The sequence below is a fragment of the Homo sapiens genome, chromosome 11 (genome assembly GCF_000001405.40).
Source record: "Homo sapiens chromosome 11, GRCh38.p14 Primary Assembly".
Classification (NCBI taxonomy): Eukaryota; Metazoa; Chordata; class Mammalia; order Primates; family Hominidae; genus Homo; species Homo sapiens.
In genome coordinates this window covers 32,565,558-32,582,633 of record NC_000011.10, presented here as the reverse complement: position 1 = coordinate 32,582,633, position 17,076 = coordinate 32,565,558, and the positions used below count along the sequence as shown (strand labels likewise).

Sequence of the window (17,076 nt, the reverse complement as noted above, 5' to 3'; positions counted from 1 at the left end):
TGAATAATGTTTCCATGAACGTTAGTGCACAAGATTTTGTGTGTACGTATATTTCTCTTAGGTATGTACCTATGAGAGGAATCAGTGGCTTATTTAGTAAATTTATGTTTAGCTTTTTCAGGAGACAGTTTCCAAAAAGTTAACACTTTATTTTCAATAGCCAAAAAAAAGGAAACAACCCAAATGTTCATCAATAGATGAATGAAGTGGATCAAAAAATTGTTATACATCTGCTTAATGGAATACTGCTGTGCAACAAAAAAGGATGAATTATTGATACATGCAAAAACACAGATGAATCTTTTTTTTTTTTCAGTCTCTTCAGCCTGGGTGACAAAGTGAGTGAGACTCCATCTCTTAAAATAAAAGCTTGATTTTTTTTCTTTAGTTGACAATCCCAAAATAATTCAAAATAATTTTGTTCAGTTAATCATCATACTGTATGATTCCATTTATATAAAACTCTAGAAAGTAGAAACTATAATGACAGCATTATAGATTGCTGTTGCCTGGGGGCAGGGATTGGGTAAGGCGGGGGGAAAGATGGATACAGAGGGGCTTGAGGAAGTTTTTGGGGGTTATGGATGTGTTCATTATTTTGACTGTGATTGTGTCATGATTGTATACATATATAACATTTTTCAAAGTGTGCAGTTCAAAAATGTGCAGTTTATTGATACCACAATTATACTTCAATATAAAATAAATGCCAAGCAAAGGAAAAAAACAAGGTTGAGGGGATAGAGGACACAAAACATCTGGCTAGACTAAATTTGAAAGGATTCATTCTTGCATGGAATAGCCTTAACAATGTGGAAAGTGAAACTGAAGGCAGGGAACCTGTGTCATGTTCACCCTGCATTTCCGCACCCACCTCAGTGCCCAGCCCACAGCAGATCATCAGGAAATACCAGTTGATTCTGAAGGAATAATCCCTGGGCTCCTCCCCTCGCCTTATTATTGCAAAGTTCGAGGAATACAAACTCAACAATACAATACCATTTTATCAAATATTTAAAAGACTTGTCTCTTTTTTACTATTGTTATTTTTTTTTTCATTCTGTGATCCTTGTGAAGTAAAAGAACACCCAGGGAAATTCTTGAGAGAGGATATGGACAGTTATTTAAAACTTTAAACTTTCATTCATTCAAAATAAACACACACACACACACACACACACACACACACACACACACACGATGGAGGTGTGGTAGGCCCGAGTAGTCTTGGGAAATGCAACATTTGAGTAGGAAATGCGGAAATGCCTGTCCTCAGTTATTTAAAACTTTAAACTTTCATTCATTCAAAATAAACACACACACACACACACACACACACACACAGGATGGAGGTGTGGTAGGCCCGAGTAGTCTTGGGAAATGCAACATTTGAGTAGGAAATGCCTGTCCTCACCTAGGTCAGGATGAATCTTGTGAGACAAAGTAGCAAACCTAAGAAGGAATGTTTGCTCATTCTGTTTGCCAGAGAATTTCGCAAAGCCCCTGACTCAGTGAGTGAGGGCAACCCTCTGGAAGAATACCCTAAAGATAAACAGGATAGAGCACAGGTCCCCATTCTCTTGCCTGAATCACTGCAGTTTTAGAAAACATAAGTTCAATGATCCTAGCCTCTGCCTCTTCATGTGCATGGGTATAATGCACACCCATGTCTGACAGCAATAATGATTATGTCTCCATAATCTATAACCAGATGGACCCTGGCACCCAAACCATGATGTGATTTCGCTCTAATGTAACTTCTGAGCACATTTAATGTAACTTCTGAGCACAGGCAGAGCCACCACTGATGTACACAAACTGTGTGCGGAAACACTGCTTTGGAGCAGTTTAACAGAAACTCTCTGGAAGACTCTCTGGGTTGCAATCCTCGGTAAGACCTCTGAATAAAACTAACTTTAATTCTTTAAAAGCTTGGCTGGTGCGGTGGCTCATGCCTGTAATCCCAGCACTTTGGGAGTCCAAGGCAGGTGGATCACTTGAGGCCAGGAGTTCCAGGCCAGTCTGGCCAACATGGTGAAACCCTGTCTCTACTGAAAATACAAAAATTAGCTGGGACCTGGTAGGCTGAGGCAGGAGAATCACTTGAACTCAGGAGGTGGAGGTTGTAGTGAGCTGAGATCACGCCACTGCACTCCAGCTTGGGCGACAGAGTGAGACTCCAAAAAAAAAAAAAAAAAAGGAAAAGGAATCACCAGGGAGTTGAACAAAGCCCCACCATCTGCAAGGCAGTATTATCTTAGTTTAATTTTTACCTGAAAAATACAACCAAATATGTACAGTTTTTCTTTATTGTTTAATTTGTCTATGTTCCCTTTGTTATCTCCTTTCTGATTAAAAATTCCGGAAAATGTGGATTTAACTATGTTTTTAAGTATTCTATTTGCAAGAGCCATATTAATATATTTGCTTGAAATTGTATTATTGGAGCAAAGTTATATTTTTTACAAGAATGCTTTGCATGACAGTAATATCTAAAATTTGTTTTCAAGTCTGTATCAGCATCTCAGAATGAGGCAATTATTCATCTGATAAACGAAAGTATATTTTTATGCTAAAATAGTATATGTGGCCAGGTGCGGTGGCTCATGTCTGTAATCTCAGCACTTTGGGAGGCTGAGGCAGGCAGATCACCTGAGGTCAGGAGTTCGATCAAGACCAGCCTGGCCCCCATCTCCACTAAGAATACAAAAATTAGCTGGGTTTGATGGTGGGTACCTGTAATCCCAGCTACTTGGGAGGCTGAGGCAGGAGAATCGCTTGAACCCGGGAGGGGGAGGTTGCAGTGAGCTGAGATCGCGCCACTGCACTCCAGCATGGACGACAAGAGCAAGACTGTCTCAGAAAAAAAAAAATAGTATATGTAGTTGATTACCTAAATACTAAGACTATGTATAGAGGGTAATCCATTCTAAATAGGTGTCATTTATAGTATATTAGCACATCATACTTTTACTGAGTTGATGAACTATGAGCTCTGAAAAAGTGGGGATGTGTTCATTATTGCATCCCATCCCTTTTTTATCAACGTGCCTGATAGATGGTGCAATAAGTATTTGTTGTATTAGTGAATGATACTCTAAATGTTAACTCGCTAGATAGATTTGCGACAAATCTTTGAAAATTGCTTTAAATTTTAATTTTGAATGAAAAAAATTTTAATTTTGAATCAAAATGAGTGATCACAACATTCTAGGAACCCATGGAAAAGATTTTTTTTAAGCATGGCAAAGACTGTCAACCTGACATCCGCCCTCTTATTCCTTAGCAGCAGAACTAAGGTGTAGTTGTAGGTGCCACAATGCACCCTTCTATGATACGAAATTGATAAGCTTTCTTATAGCTAGGTGTAGCTGGTGAGATGTGGATGGAAATTTTGAGAGCAGCTTCTGGCAAAGCTCTTTCTTGGAACTGACTCTTTTGCCCTTGCCCCCCACCGCCACCCTCCACTTTTTTTTTTTTTTTTGCCTAAAACATGGACTTGATGGTGGGTGCTACAGCAACCAAACTAAAACCAAGACGTGGCCTTGGTGGAAGCCATGTGGTGGAGAGGAAAGACGGAAGGAGCCCATATCCCTGATGACATTAGGAGAGTGTGATGCCAGCCCATGACGGCCTACCCATGAATTTATTTTACATAAGAGGAAAATAAACCTCCATCTTGTTTAATGCACTATTATATTGTTTTTTTCTTGTATACAGACGAAACTAATCTTGATTGACACAGAGAAAAAAGTTTGAAGTCTAAAGTCATAATTTTGTAAATAAAAGGTTTATGTTAGTGCAAGTTAACAAATTTGTATAATGCATATTGATGGTGGGAATCTTGGAATCTCTCTTAATGCTGTTGCAATGTAACATTGAATTTACAAAGCTACCATCTTAGGATCTCAGAGATTTATAGCTAATAATTAAATTGTATACTAGCGATGCAACATATGATTGCACTGACTTTATAGGTGAAACAAAGGATATTTAAGGCAGTTGATTGGTGACTTACTGAAATATATTGCACCTGAGCAGTAGATCCAGCAGTAGAACTCATGCAGCACCTTAAATCTCAAACACTTTGACCATTAGAAAGCATTCATTTTTACATTAGTCTTCGTATTAAAATTCATGAGGTTAACCTCCTCACTTCACGTGATATAAGCATTTATTGAAACATTCATAAATTTGTTGAATCTGAGGAAGACATATTCATCATTCACGCTTTTAAAATGATTTCAGCAAGGCTTGTCTATACCAGAGTAGAAAACTTAATGCGCTAGGGAAAAGGTTTAGCAACTGCAAACAATGCAAATGCAAGAGTAATTTTATGAGCTAATAATTTTTATATTTTTGGGAAAAAAACTTTATTATTTTGAGCTCCTGTAGGCGCCATACTAACCACAACTCTGTGAGAGTTTGTTGTTGTTGAGATGAAGTCTCTGTCGCCTAGTCTGGAGTGCAGTGGTGCAATCTCACCTCACTGCAACCTCTACCTCCCGGTTCAAGCGATTCTCCTGCCTCAGCCTCCCAAGTAGCTGGGATTATAGGCGCGCACCACCATGCCCAGCTAATTTTCGTATTTTTAATAGAGACAGGGTTTCACCATGGTGGCCAGGCTGGTCTTGAACCCCTGACCTCAAGTGATCCACCAGCCTCAGCCTCCCAAAGTGCTGGAATTACAGGTGCGAGCCACCACACCCAGCTAATGTTGTTTTGTTGTTTTGGTGTGTGTGTGGATGTGTGTGTGTGTGAAGATGAAGCAATAGAGGCTCAGAGGAGTTAGGCACCTCTGCTACTAAGAAATGCAGAGCATTGGCCAGCAATTCCTGTTCAGGTCTGTCTCATTTAATAGCTGCTGTTCTTGTCTCTTTCCTTTTTGGTGATTTCACTTTAAAAATAGAATGTAAGACTTCTTTATGTAAAACATATACTTTTAAAATAAACTTTTGTATTGAAGTATAACTTATAGTCAGATGCACAAATTATAATAAGCCTACCATTTGGTGAGTTATCACAGTGAACATACGCAAGTACTCATCATTCAGGTTTTTTTTTTTTTTAAAAAGAGCATTCATTAGCCATCAGGGAAAGGCAAATGAAAATCACAGTGAGATAACACTTTATAAAAAAAGACAATAGCAAGAATGGCTATCATTTAAAAGTTTTTCTCTTTTTTTGTTGTTGTAGTGACAGGGTCTCACTCCTATCACCCAGGCTAGAGTGCAGTGGTGCAATCTCAGCTCAGTGCAGTCCCCACTTCCCAGGTTCAAGCGATTCTCCTGCCTCAGCCTTACAGTAGCTGGGATTACAGGCCCCGCCACCACTCCCGGCTAATTTTTGTATTTTTAGTAGAGAAGGGGTTTCATCATGTTGGCCAGGCTGGTCTCAGACTCCTGACCTCAGGTGATCTCCCCACCTTGGCCTCCCAAAGTGCTGGGATTACAGGTGTGAGCCACCACACCTGGCTAAGCTTTTAAATGGAGGTATACTTGGAGGAGGCTTTACCCTTTTGCCTTTCCCCTTCTTCCTACCTTGGATGTAGACGTGGAGCTGGAGGTGGGGCAGCCATTTTGCAGCCTGGTGGTAACACGCTGAGGAGGCTGCATTCTGCATGCTAAAGGATCACCTAGAAAGCTACAAGGAACCTGGATCTGTTCATTACAGAACTACCTTTTCAGCCTTGTGGAATTTACCTCTAGATTTCTCGTTTTGCAAGGAAAGTACACCTTATTTGCCTAAGCCACTATATGTCAATTTTGTTTTGTTATGGACAACAGATGTGGCACCAGAAGTGGAGTGCTTTAAGTAATAGAACCTAAAATTTGGCATTGGCTTAGTGAAAGAAGTCAGGCTTTGACAATGAGCACAAGGATTTCACAGGCTAGAAAGAGCCTTGTTATATGACATCAGAACATTCTTCATGGAAACCTGTCTCCTTTTGTTTCTCAGAACATAAACCATGATGTTTTATGTTGCTGTCAGGGGAAAAAGTAGATATAATTTATGTTGACAGATCCTGGTTACTTCTTGCCACTTTCAGCAAAGTCCCAAAGGATAGGGGTAAAAAGCTACTTTGTAAGCAGAGATGGTTAGTAATACGCTAGGGTGAGAGCCACTCTGCCTAGAGCCTCCAATCTCAACTGACTGAGAACTCCTTGCTCTAGAGCCCTGTAGGTTGAAATGCCAGTTTATGGCCCCTGCCTGAAATTGGCAAGGCTAGCTGCAGCAAGTGAATAAAAACAGGGCTTCAGGCCTTTCTAAAGAATCTCCCTGTAGGAGTTCTCAGCCAGAATACATCTGAACCTACTAATAACAATTAGATTAAACATCTTTTCCCACCAGGGCCTATGGTTTCAAATTGCCCCAAAAACTGTTAATCTAAGGGCAAGAGGAATGCAGAACACGTTGTCTGGTAGGTAGAAGAAAAGACTTAAAGACTCTAGGAAAGATCTTTGGCTATGGCTAGTGCTGCGTGAAGCTTACAGGAAGCTTTGCACATTTTTTATTTTTTTTTGAGACAGAGTCTCATTCTGTTGCCCAGGCTGGAGTGCAGTGGCATGATCTTGACTCACTGCAACCTCCTCCTCCTGGGTTCAAGCGGTCTCCTGCCTTAGCCTCCGGAGTAGCTGGCACTACAGGTGTGCGCCACCACGCCCCGGTAATTCTTGTATTTTTAGTAGAGATGGGGTTTCACCATGTTGGCCTCGCTGGTCTGGAACTCCTGACATCAGGTGATCCGCCGCCTTGGCCTCCCAAAGTGCTGGGATTACAGGCATGAGCCACCGTGCCTGGCCGAGGCTGATTTTTAATGGATGTTGGTAGAAGACGAAAGATCCATGGATCAGAGACAAAGGGCTTTATTACAGCAGAGCAAGCAACAAAGAACAACAGTACACTGCATCAGTTTCCCTAATCTCCAAGTCCCACAGGGGCTATGTGGATGTGCCCAGACATGTGTCCACACACACTGTAGGCTGCATTACAGATAAGGAGCCACAAGCTTAGGGAACCCAAATATTTTATGATGACCAGTAAGTTTGCCTGCCCTTTGCTCGGTATGAAAACATCTCTATCATCCTAGGCTGTCTGCTGTACAAACATCCTTGAAAACATAGTCCGAAACAAAAAATAGTGATTCTGATTTCAAGATATATAGAGATACAAGAGACCCATGGAAAATTGTCTCTCTGCAGCATATTAGCAAGGAAACTCCAGATTTGCTGGGCAACAGCCTTTGGTTTTTCAACACCTAAGGCCACTCCAGGCCCCTAAACTCACACTAATTAGAAGTAGGCTGTGAAGGCTCTGTGACGCCCCTGGGAAAGGCATCCTTTCCAAAGCTCTTATCAGATGAGGTCATGGATAATAATGAACTCCCAGGATTCCTTCAGAGGGCAGAACCAGGGGCTACCAGACATGCTAACTGATAGGGTTTGGATCTTTGTCTGCTACAGATCTCATGTTGAAATGTAATCCTCAGTGTTGGAGGTGGGGCCTGGAGGGAGATGATTGAATCATGGGGTGGATCCCTCGTGAATGGTTTAGGACCATCCCCTTGGTGATCATTGAATTCTTGCTCCATTAGTTTACACGAGATCTGGTTGTGTAAAAGCGTGAGATTGCCCCTTCTTCCTTTCTCTTGTTCTTGCTCTCACCGTGTGACATGCCTGCTCCCACTTCACCTTCCACCATGACTGAAGGCTTCCTGAGGCCCTCACCAGAAGCAGAGCACATGTTAGTGCCATGCCTGTACAGCCTGCAGAGCTGTGAACCAGTTCAACCTGTGTTCTTTAGAAATACCCCATCTCAGGTATTTCTTTATAGCAATGCAAAAACAGCCTAATATACTAACCAAGATCTTATCACCACCAAGGCAAGGATTCCTCATTCTCTCTGCCAAAAGCCATGGTTTGAGAATTGCTGCGACTGCCATGCGTTTCCCAGTGTCTTGTTCTCACTTGCAGCTGTGACTCCTTCCTGCTCCTTCCTCTTATCCAGTCAGTGTATTGGAGACAGTTACCTTATCTTTTAGTGTTAAGTTCACTATGCCCTGAGGAAACACATCTGGATCTGCACATCGTTCACTAAGATTATGAGCCAGATGCAATATTTGGATGAGTTGTTTTTTTTTTTTTAAGATTGTCTCCCTTTTAGACAGAGAGTGAGCGTGTTTTATTTGTATGAGGCATGCTTGCATTATGTTAGATGGGATAATTTTCTTGTGATTGTTCCTGTGTTGTTATTAAATTTAAGTATAGGCCAGGTGCAGTGGCACACGCCTGTAATCCCAGCACTTTGGGAGGCCAAGGCAGGCGGATCATGAGGTGAGGAAATCGAGACCATCCTGGCCAACATGGTGAAACTCCATCTCTACTAAAAATACAAAAATTAGCTGGGCGTGGTGGCGGGTGCCTGTAATCCCAGCTACTTGGGAGGCTGAGGTAGGAGAATCACTTGAACCAGGGAGTCGGAGGTTGCAGTGAGCCGAGATCGTGCCACTGCACTCCAGACTGGTGACAGAGCGAGATTCCGTCTCAAAAAAAAAAAAAAGTTTAAGGATAGAAGGCTAGGCGTGGTGGCTCACGCCTGTAATCCCAGCACTTTGGGAGGCCGAGGTGGGTGGATCCCTTGAGGTCAGGAGTTCGAGACCAGCCTAGCCAACATGGTGAAATCCATCTGTACTAAAAATACAAAAATTAGCCTGGTGTGGTGGCAGCCACCTGTAATCCCAGCTACTCGGGAGGCTGAGAGGCAGGAGAATCACTTGAACCTGGGAGGCAGAGATTGCAGTGAGCCAAGATTGTGCCACTGCGCTCCAGCCTGGGGAACAGAACAGAGTGAGACTCTGTCTCAAAAAAAAAAAAAAAAAAAAATCCCTGGCTGGGCATGGTGGCTCATGCCTATAATCCCAGCACTTTGAGAGGCCAAGGCGGGCAGATCGCTTGGGCCTAGGAATTTGAGACCAGCCTGGACAACGTAGTGAGATGCTGTCTCTACAGAATTTTTTTTTTTAATTAGCTGGGCATGGTGGCACTGTTAAGGAGGCAGCTCTAAAAGAGCCTGATGCAGGTGTTTCTTGGATTTAAATTTGAGAAACACTGGCCTATTGAATACAATCCCAACTGCTTACCATAGTGTATACAGCACTCACGTGCCTCAATGCCTACACACACACAAACACACACATACACGTTGAACTGTTTGTACTTCCCCAAATGCAGCAGCCTGTTCGGATCCTCAAGCCTTTGCTTGCACTTCTTTCTTTACTGTGACGTTCACTGTCCAATGTCCACTGATGTATGCACAATAACTTTCAAGACTCAGATTAAGCATGCTGCTCTAGAACACCTTTTATGCCCACTTCCCTCTCTCCCTCTCCCCAGGGGAATGAAGCACTCCCTGTTTTATCTGCCCTCTGAATTGATCTCTACGGCATGCCTCTCCCTGCCAGCCTATGAGCCCTTAACAGCAGTGCCCCTGTGTTATTCACCCTTATAGCAAGGGGCCTAGCACAGTGCTTGATATTCGTGAGATGGCTTAAAAATATTGGGCCAATCAAAGAATAAAAATATTACCTTCTTGAAATCAAGCCAAATACCACAGTTCATCTCTAACTCAGTAGATCTCTAGCTATGAAAGTTCTTTTCAAACTAAAAAAGGCAAAAGAAGGGGCCTTAGTAAGGCAAAATATATCAAATTTCTGCTGATCCAGAAGCTCCATGAACAAGCAGGATTAATATTTCAAGATATGCGCTCTAGGATTTTCTTCTAAAGTCTCCGGAGATCAAGATGAAATGCCCCTATCCAGACGGTTTCCCTCTCCAAACTATTAACATCAGAATTAATCTTATCTGGCAGTTTTTCTTTCTTTCTTTTTTCTTTTTTTGAGATGGAGTTTTGCTTTTGTTGCCCAGGCTGGAGTGCAGTGGCACAATCTCCGCTCACTGCAACCTCTACCTCCTGGGTACAAGCGATTCTCCTGCCTCAGCCTCTGGAGTAGGTGGGATTACAGGTTCCCACCACCACACCCGGCTAATTTTTGCATTTTTAGTAGAGATGGGGTTTCACCATGTTGGCCAGGCTGGTCTCGAACTCCTGACCTCAGGTGATCCACCCACCTCGGTCTCCCAATATCTGGCAGTTTTTCATTACAGAGAAAGTGTGTTGTAAAGCACAGTTGTTTTGGAGGTAGAAACAATGCAATTACACTTGAATCTGAGGCAAACACACAGTCCTTCTTGCTTAGGAGTTTTCTTTCCCTTTTCCTTAATGATAAAAACATGTCACTTCTTTGGTTTTATCTCCTACTCCCATATACAACCTAATGATGCTATTAAAAATTACTTGTAATTCCTCAAATGCAAAGATTCTCCCCATCTCTCTCTCTCTCTCTCTCTTTTTTTTTTTTTTTGAGATGGAGTCTTGCTTTGTCACCAGGCTGGAGTGCAGTGGCGCGATCTCCGCCCACTGCAAGCTTCGCCTCCCGGGTTCACGCCATTCTCCTGCCTCAGCCTCCCGAGTAGCTGGGACTACAGGCACCCGCCACCATGCCTAGCTAATTTTTTGTATTTTTAGTAGAGGCAGGGTTTCACCGTGTTAGCCAGAGTGGTTTCGATCTCCTGACCTTGTGATCCACCCGCCTCAGCCTCCCAAAGTGCTGGGATTACAGGCATGAGCCACCGCGCCTGGCCTCTCCCCATCTCTTTCTGAAGTTGGTTGACTTATATGTGGTTGTCAAGCCTCTCTTCACATATGGCCCCCTGGATGAAGCCTAAGTGTTTCCTGTCTGCTGCTTTCATCTACACCCTGCCCCCAGCCCCTGTTTCCTGCGCTGCTCCTTAGCTGGGTTCCCATCATGCCTCTATCCTGCCATTACCCTGTGTATTGCAATGATTTCATTCACTTCTCTCTCTCCTAGGCCAAAGGGACTGTGTTCCACCAGTGTAGCATCAGTGTCAGAGCAGCAGTTCCTTAATGAATGTTTTTGGAATGTACTGTACACGTCTTATGTGTCAGATACCATTCCAGATGCTTTTGATACACGGGTGGGCAAGACCAGCAAAGGGCCCTGCATTATTTGTGGGGTTTCCATTCTAGCAGAGGGACACAGACAAGAAAACTTATAAAACAAGCAAATCCTATAGTATGTGAGAAGATAGTAATTTCTATGGGAGAAAAAACTAGAACAGGGCCAGGGGAAGCAACAAAGTAGGAGTTGCAATTAAGGGCCAACTTACCCAGCAGAGGGGAAGTCTGAATGGAGAATGTAAAGGAGGTTTCATTTGCTACCTGTAGGGGACTCAGCAGGAATTTCTTTGTTCGGAAGGTGGTAGTGGGAGGTTTAAACCCAAAAGGGTGTTCCAGGCAGAGGAAGAAGCCACGTGTCCAAAAGCATGCAGTCTTGAGAGTTGATGATGCGGGGGTGCTGGTGGGAGCTCTGTGAGGCCGGGGGAGTGCGAAGGGCTGCGTGAAGTCATGGAAGATGAAACTGGCGAGGATCAGGGGCCAGGATGCGGAGGGACTCACGTGTCCCGCTAAGGAGTTTGCACTTTACCCTGTAGACAGCCAGAATCCTGTTGATGATTTTATGCAGGGGAATGACATGTTTATATTTATTTTGAGGAAGATAATTCTGGCAGATGTACTGGAGTGGTGAGAGACTGGACAAGTCACTTAACCTCTCTCTTCCTCTGTTTTACCATCTATCAAAGAAGATGAACCATATCTGCTCTGCTTACCTCCTAGGACTTTGGTGAGAAATAAATGAGATAAGAGATGTGAAAACACTTTGAAAAGTATATGGTACTGTAAAAATGCAAGCTGGTGCTGTTGTTATTTCAGCTGTGCTGTGTTTGGGAATGTGGTTTTAGAGAAGCCCACAGAATAAAGGAGAGAAGCAGAGGAACAACCCCATTCCTATCTCCCTAGAAGAATCAAACCCAACGATACCTTAGTTTAGTAAATGCCTATTTCATCGCCCCACTGTACAAAGAACTAAGGAACTTTTACAGAAATGAGAGAAAACCAACTTCGGGGGAGATTAGTCTGGAGAGATGCAGTACCTCCAGGAAAGGAAAACATACCCACTCAAAGAAAACCCAGGTACATGAAGATATGATCCAATGCAAGAAGAAGAAGCTAGAGAGGGATGGAGAATAGGGGCATTTGGACTCCCTAAAAGAAAGTGAAGCCCTGGCCAGGCGTGGTGGCTCACACCGTAATCCCAACACTTTGGAAGGCCAAGGCAGGCAGAACACTTGAGGCCAGGAGTTGGAGACCAGCCTGGGCAACATAGTGAAACCCCGTCTCTACTAAAAATACAAAAATTAGTCAGGCATGGCGGCACATGCCTGTAGTCCCAGCTACCAGGGAGGCTGAGGCAGGAGAATCGCTTGAACCCGGGAGGCGGAGGTTGTGGTGAGCTGAGATTGCACCACCGCGCTCCAGCCTGGGCAACAGAGTGAAACTCCATCTCAAAAAAAAAAAAAAGAAAAAAAGGGGGTCGGCTGGCTGCAGTGGCTCACACCTGTAATCCCAGTAATTTGGGAGGCTGAGGCGGGCAGATCATTTGAGGTCAGTAGTTCGAGACCAGCCTGGCCAATATGTCAAAACCCTGCCTCTACTAAAAATACAGAAAGCCGGTGTGTTGGCACATGCCTGTAATCCCAGCTACTCGGAAGGCTGAGGCAGAGGAATCACTTGAGCCCAGGGTCGGAAGTTGTAGTGAGCCAAGATCATACCAATGCACTCCAGCCTGGGCGACAGAGTGAAACTCCGTTTCAAAAAAAAAAAAAAAAAAAGAAAGAAAGAAAGGAAAAAGAAATGGAAGTCGTATAATTTGCCCTAATTAGGTGATGATTTGCTGAAAACACCTCTGTTGCTCCACTCCTTTAGATGAGGCAGAGTGGGAGGAGAAAACAGGAAGACATTTTACCAGGTAGAAAACTTTATAACTGGTTGCATGATGCAATCCATTTTTTTTTTCCAAAAGCAATGCTTTATAAACAAATTATGACATTTTGATATTTTCAAAATCATGAGTTTCTTGGTAACAAACATGAGTAAGCCTCATTACAGAAACACCTTGGCTCAGTCTACCGAGTGCTTTTCCCTTCTCTGGTATTTGTTGGGTATAAACAGATCCTAGGCATATTAAATTATAACCTTTTTTTTTTTTTTACAATTCAATGTTTTTAATATATTCACAGGGTTGTGCAATGAACACCACTATGTTTTAGAACATTTTCATCATCCCCAAAATAAAGCCTACACTAATTAGTTACTCCCCATTAAATTATGTCCTTAGGCTTCTTTTTGAAGTCAAGTTTGAGTAATAATATCCTTTGAATAATATCTTTCTATCTCCTACTACCTCAAGTAATTCCATAGATGTACTATTATTACGTTTTCCATTGTATGTACATTTGTAAATTCCTTTATAGATTATGACAAGGTGTATATCTTTGTAAAAGTGGCAGAACCGGCTGGGCACAGTGGCTCACGCCTGTAATCTCAGCATTTTGGAAGCCCGACGTGGGCAGATCATGAGGTCAGGAGTTTGAGACCAGTCTGACCAACATGGTGAAACCCCATCTCTACTAAAAATACAAAAATTAGCCAGGCGTGGTGGTGTGCACCTGTAATCCCAGCTACTCAGGAGGCTGAGTCAGGAGAATCGCTTGAACCCAGGAGGCGGAGGTTGCAGTGAGCTGAGATTGTGCCACTGCACTCTAGCCTGGGCAACAGAGTGAGACTCCACCTCAAAAAAAAAAAAAAAAAGAGTGGCAGAACCCTCAGTGTTTGAAAGTAAATCCTGCATTGGGATAGAGCCGCCCATGCCGTACACATCCATTGCCACCCATGTTGTACATTATATCCCCAGAACTTAATTTTTTTTTTTTTGAGACAGGATGTCACTCTGTTATCCAGTCTAGAGTGCAGTGGTTTGATCGCCACTCACTGTAACCTCTAACTGCTGGACTCAAGTGATTCTCCTGCCTCAGCCTCCTGAGTAGCTAGGACCACAGGCACTTGCCACTACACCCAGCTAATTTTAAAATTTTCTGTAGAGACAGGGTCTTGCTACATTGCCCAGGCTGATCTGAATTCTGTGCCTCAAGTAATCCTCCCACCTCAGCCTCCCAAAGTGCTGGGATAACAGGTGTGCATCACTGCACCCAGCCAAATTTATTCATCTTATAACTGAAATTCTATACCGTTTGATCAACATCTCCCCATAAGCGTTTGAGTCAAATGAGTGCCAGATATTTTTGTTGATCCATCTCTCCCACCCACTAGGCTTACTCCTTCACCAACAAGAGTGTGTTTATTCCCTCTGTATCCTCAGTGCCATGCACACAGTAACCACTTAAAAAATATTTAACCAAAATAGCACACAAGATACATCAATGATGACTGCAAGGTGTTGAGTCTGGTTTACTGAGAGAATGGTGTAACTCTTGAGAGACAGTTAACTCTTTAGTTGGAAGATCTTTACACTTAATAAGCATGTTATTGTTTCAAATATTTTTAATTTTTTAATCCTTTTTTTTTTTTTTTGCGATGGAGTTTCGCTCTTACGCCAGGCTGGAGTGAAGTGTCGCGATCTCAGCTCACTGCAAACTCTGCCCCCTGGGTTCAAGTGATTCTCTTGCCTCAGCCTCCAGAGTAGCTGGTATTACAGTCACACACCACCACGCCAGGCTAATTTTTGTACTTTTAGTACAGATGGGGTTCGGCCATGTTGGCCAGGCTGGTCTCGAACTCCTGACCTCAGGCAATCCACCCAATTAGAATGACCCAGAACACTGGCAACTCCCAATGTTGGCCAGGATGTGGAGCAACAGAACTCTCCATACCATTGCAAATTGCTACAGCTACTTTGGAAGGCAGTTTGGTGGTGTCTTAAGAAACTAAATGTATTCTTGTCATATGATTCAGCAGTTGTGTTCCTTCATATTTACCCAAATGAACTGAAAACACAAAAGCCTGCACACAAGTGTTTATAGCAGCTTTATTCGTGCTGCCAAGCCTTGGAAGCAACAAGGATTTTCTTCAGTAAGTGAATGGATAAGCTGTGGCACATGCAGACAATAGAATATTATTCAGTTCTAAAAAGAAATGAGCTATCAAGCTATGAATAGGCATGGAGGAAACTTTGATGCATACTTCTAAGAGAAAGAAGCCAATTTGAAAGCTCTACATACTACATGATTCCAACTACATGACATTCTGGAAAAGGCAAAACAATAGAGACAATAAAACCTCAGTGGTTGCCAGGGGCTGGGTGTGGGGCAGGGATGAATAGGAAGAGCACAGAGTGTTTAAGGCAGTGGAAATACACTGGATGATACCATAATGGTAGATACATGTCATTATACGTTAGTGCAAACCCATATAATTTACAATACTAAGAGTGAACCCTGAAGTCAACTAGGGGCTTTGGGGGATTATGATGTGTCCATGTAGGTTCATCAGTTGTAAGAAATGTACCACTCTGGTGGGAGGTGTTGATAATAGACTAGGCTGTGATTGTGTGGAGACGGGTGGGGATATGGGAAATCTCTGTACCTTTTTTTGGATCTTGCTGTGAACCTAGAACTGCCCTTAAAAAATAGTCTTTTAAGGCGAGGCTCAGTGGCTCACGCCTGCAATCCCAGCACTTTGGGAGGCTGAGGTGGGAGGATCACTTGAGGCCAGGAGTTGCAGACCAGCCTGTCCAACATAGTGAAACCCCATCTCTACTAAAAATACAAAAGATTAGCTGGGTGTGGTGGTGCACACCTGTAATCCCAGATACTAGGGAGGCTGAGGCAGGAGAATAGCTTAAACCCAGGAGGCGAAGTCTGCAGTGAGCAGAGATCGAACCACTGCACTCCAGCCAGGATGACACAGTGAGACTCTGTCTGAAAAGAAACCAAAACCAAAACCAAAAAACAAAAAAAAAACCTCTTAAATAAATGAATCACAATTCCTTAACATCATCAACTATCTGGTCAGAGTCCAATTTTTCTTATTGTTCAATTTTTACAGTTTTTTGAACAATGATGCACTAGAATTTAAACCTTGTGATTGATTGGTCATTGAATCTCTTTTAATTTATAAATTGCCCCTCCATCTCTTTTTTTCTTGCAATTTAGTTCAGTAGAATATTTCACATATGAATTTTATAAATTGCACCTATCTAGTATTGTTTCTCCCCTGTACTTCCTGTATATATATGGTTATTAGGTCTAGAGTTTTGATTAGATTCATTTTGGTGGTTTTTTTTTTTGTTTGTTTGTTTGTTTTTGAGATGGGGTCTCGCTCTGTCACCCAGGCTGGAGTGCAGTGGCACAATCTCGGCTCACTGCAAGCTCCGCCTTCCAGATTCAAGTGATTCTCCTGCCTCAGCCTCCTGAGTAGCTAGGACTACAGGCGGGTGCCACCACACCCGGCTAATTTTTTGTATTTTTAGTAGAGATGGGGTTTCACTGTGTTAGCCAGGATGGTCTTGATCTCTTGATTTTGTGATCTGCCCACCTTGGCCTCCCAAAGTGCTGGGATTACAGGTGTGAGGGATGTTTTATAGGTAATGGTTTGTGGGTGTGTAGTTCTACCAGGAGGCACCTATGCCTGGTTATTTTAGTTTTTGTGATATTAGCAGCCATGAATCAACATTATCTAGACCCATTAATCCATTAGGCGTTGCAGAATCCTGTAATTAATTAGGGGTTACCTTGATTTTTCTAATTCCAGAATTCCTTCATCTTTTATCAGCTGAAATAATTCTACAAAAAGAAACTTGCTGTCATCAACTACTTGATTACTCTGGGATATAGTTCACCCAAGAAAAGTAGGATAAATTCTTCTTTCTTTCCCTTTATCTACCAAATTCTAAATAGTAAATTGATTCCCCAGCATTCTTCAAAGGTAACAAGGAAGGTCTTTTTAACATAGCAGTTTAGGCCTGCGCAGTGGCTCACGCCTGTAATCCCACACTTTGGGAGGCTGAGACGGGCAGATCACCTGAGGTTATGAGTTTGAGACCAGCCTGGCCAACATGGTGAAACACTGTCTCTACTAAAA

The 17,076-nt window shown here is 42.8% G+C and overlaps 1 annotated feature.

Moving 5' to 3' along the window:
* Nucleotides 7,925-8,125: a silencer, noted in NCBI's record as "peak1246 fragment used in MPRA reporter construct". NCBI's record gives its function as "represses an SCP1 promoter by STARR-seq MPRAs in K562 erythroleukemia cells {active_cell/tissue: K562}" and the evidence as "EXISTENCE:reporter gene assay evidence [ECO:0000049][PMID:32103011]".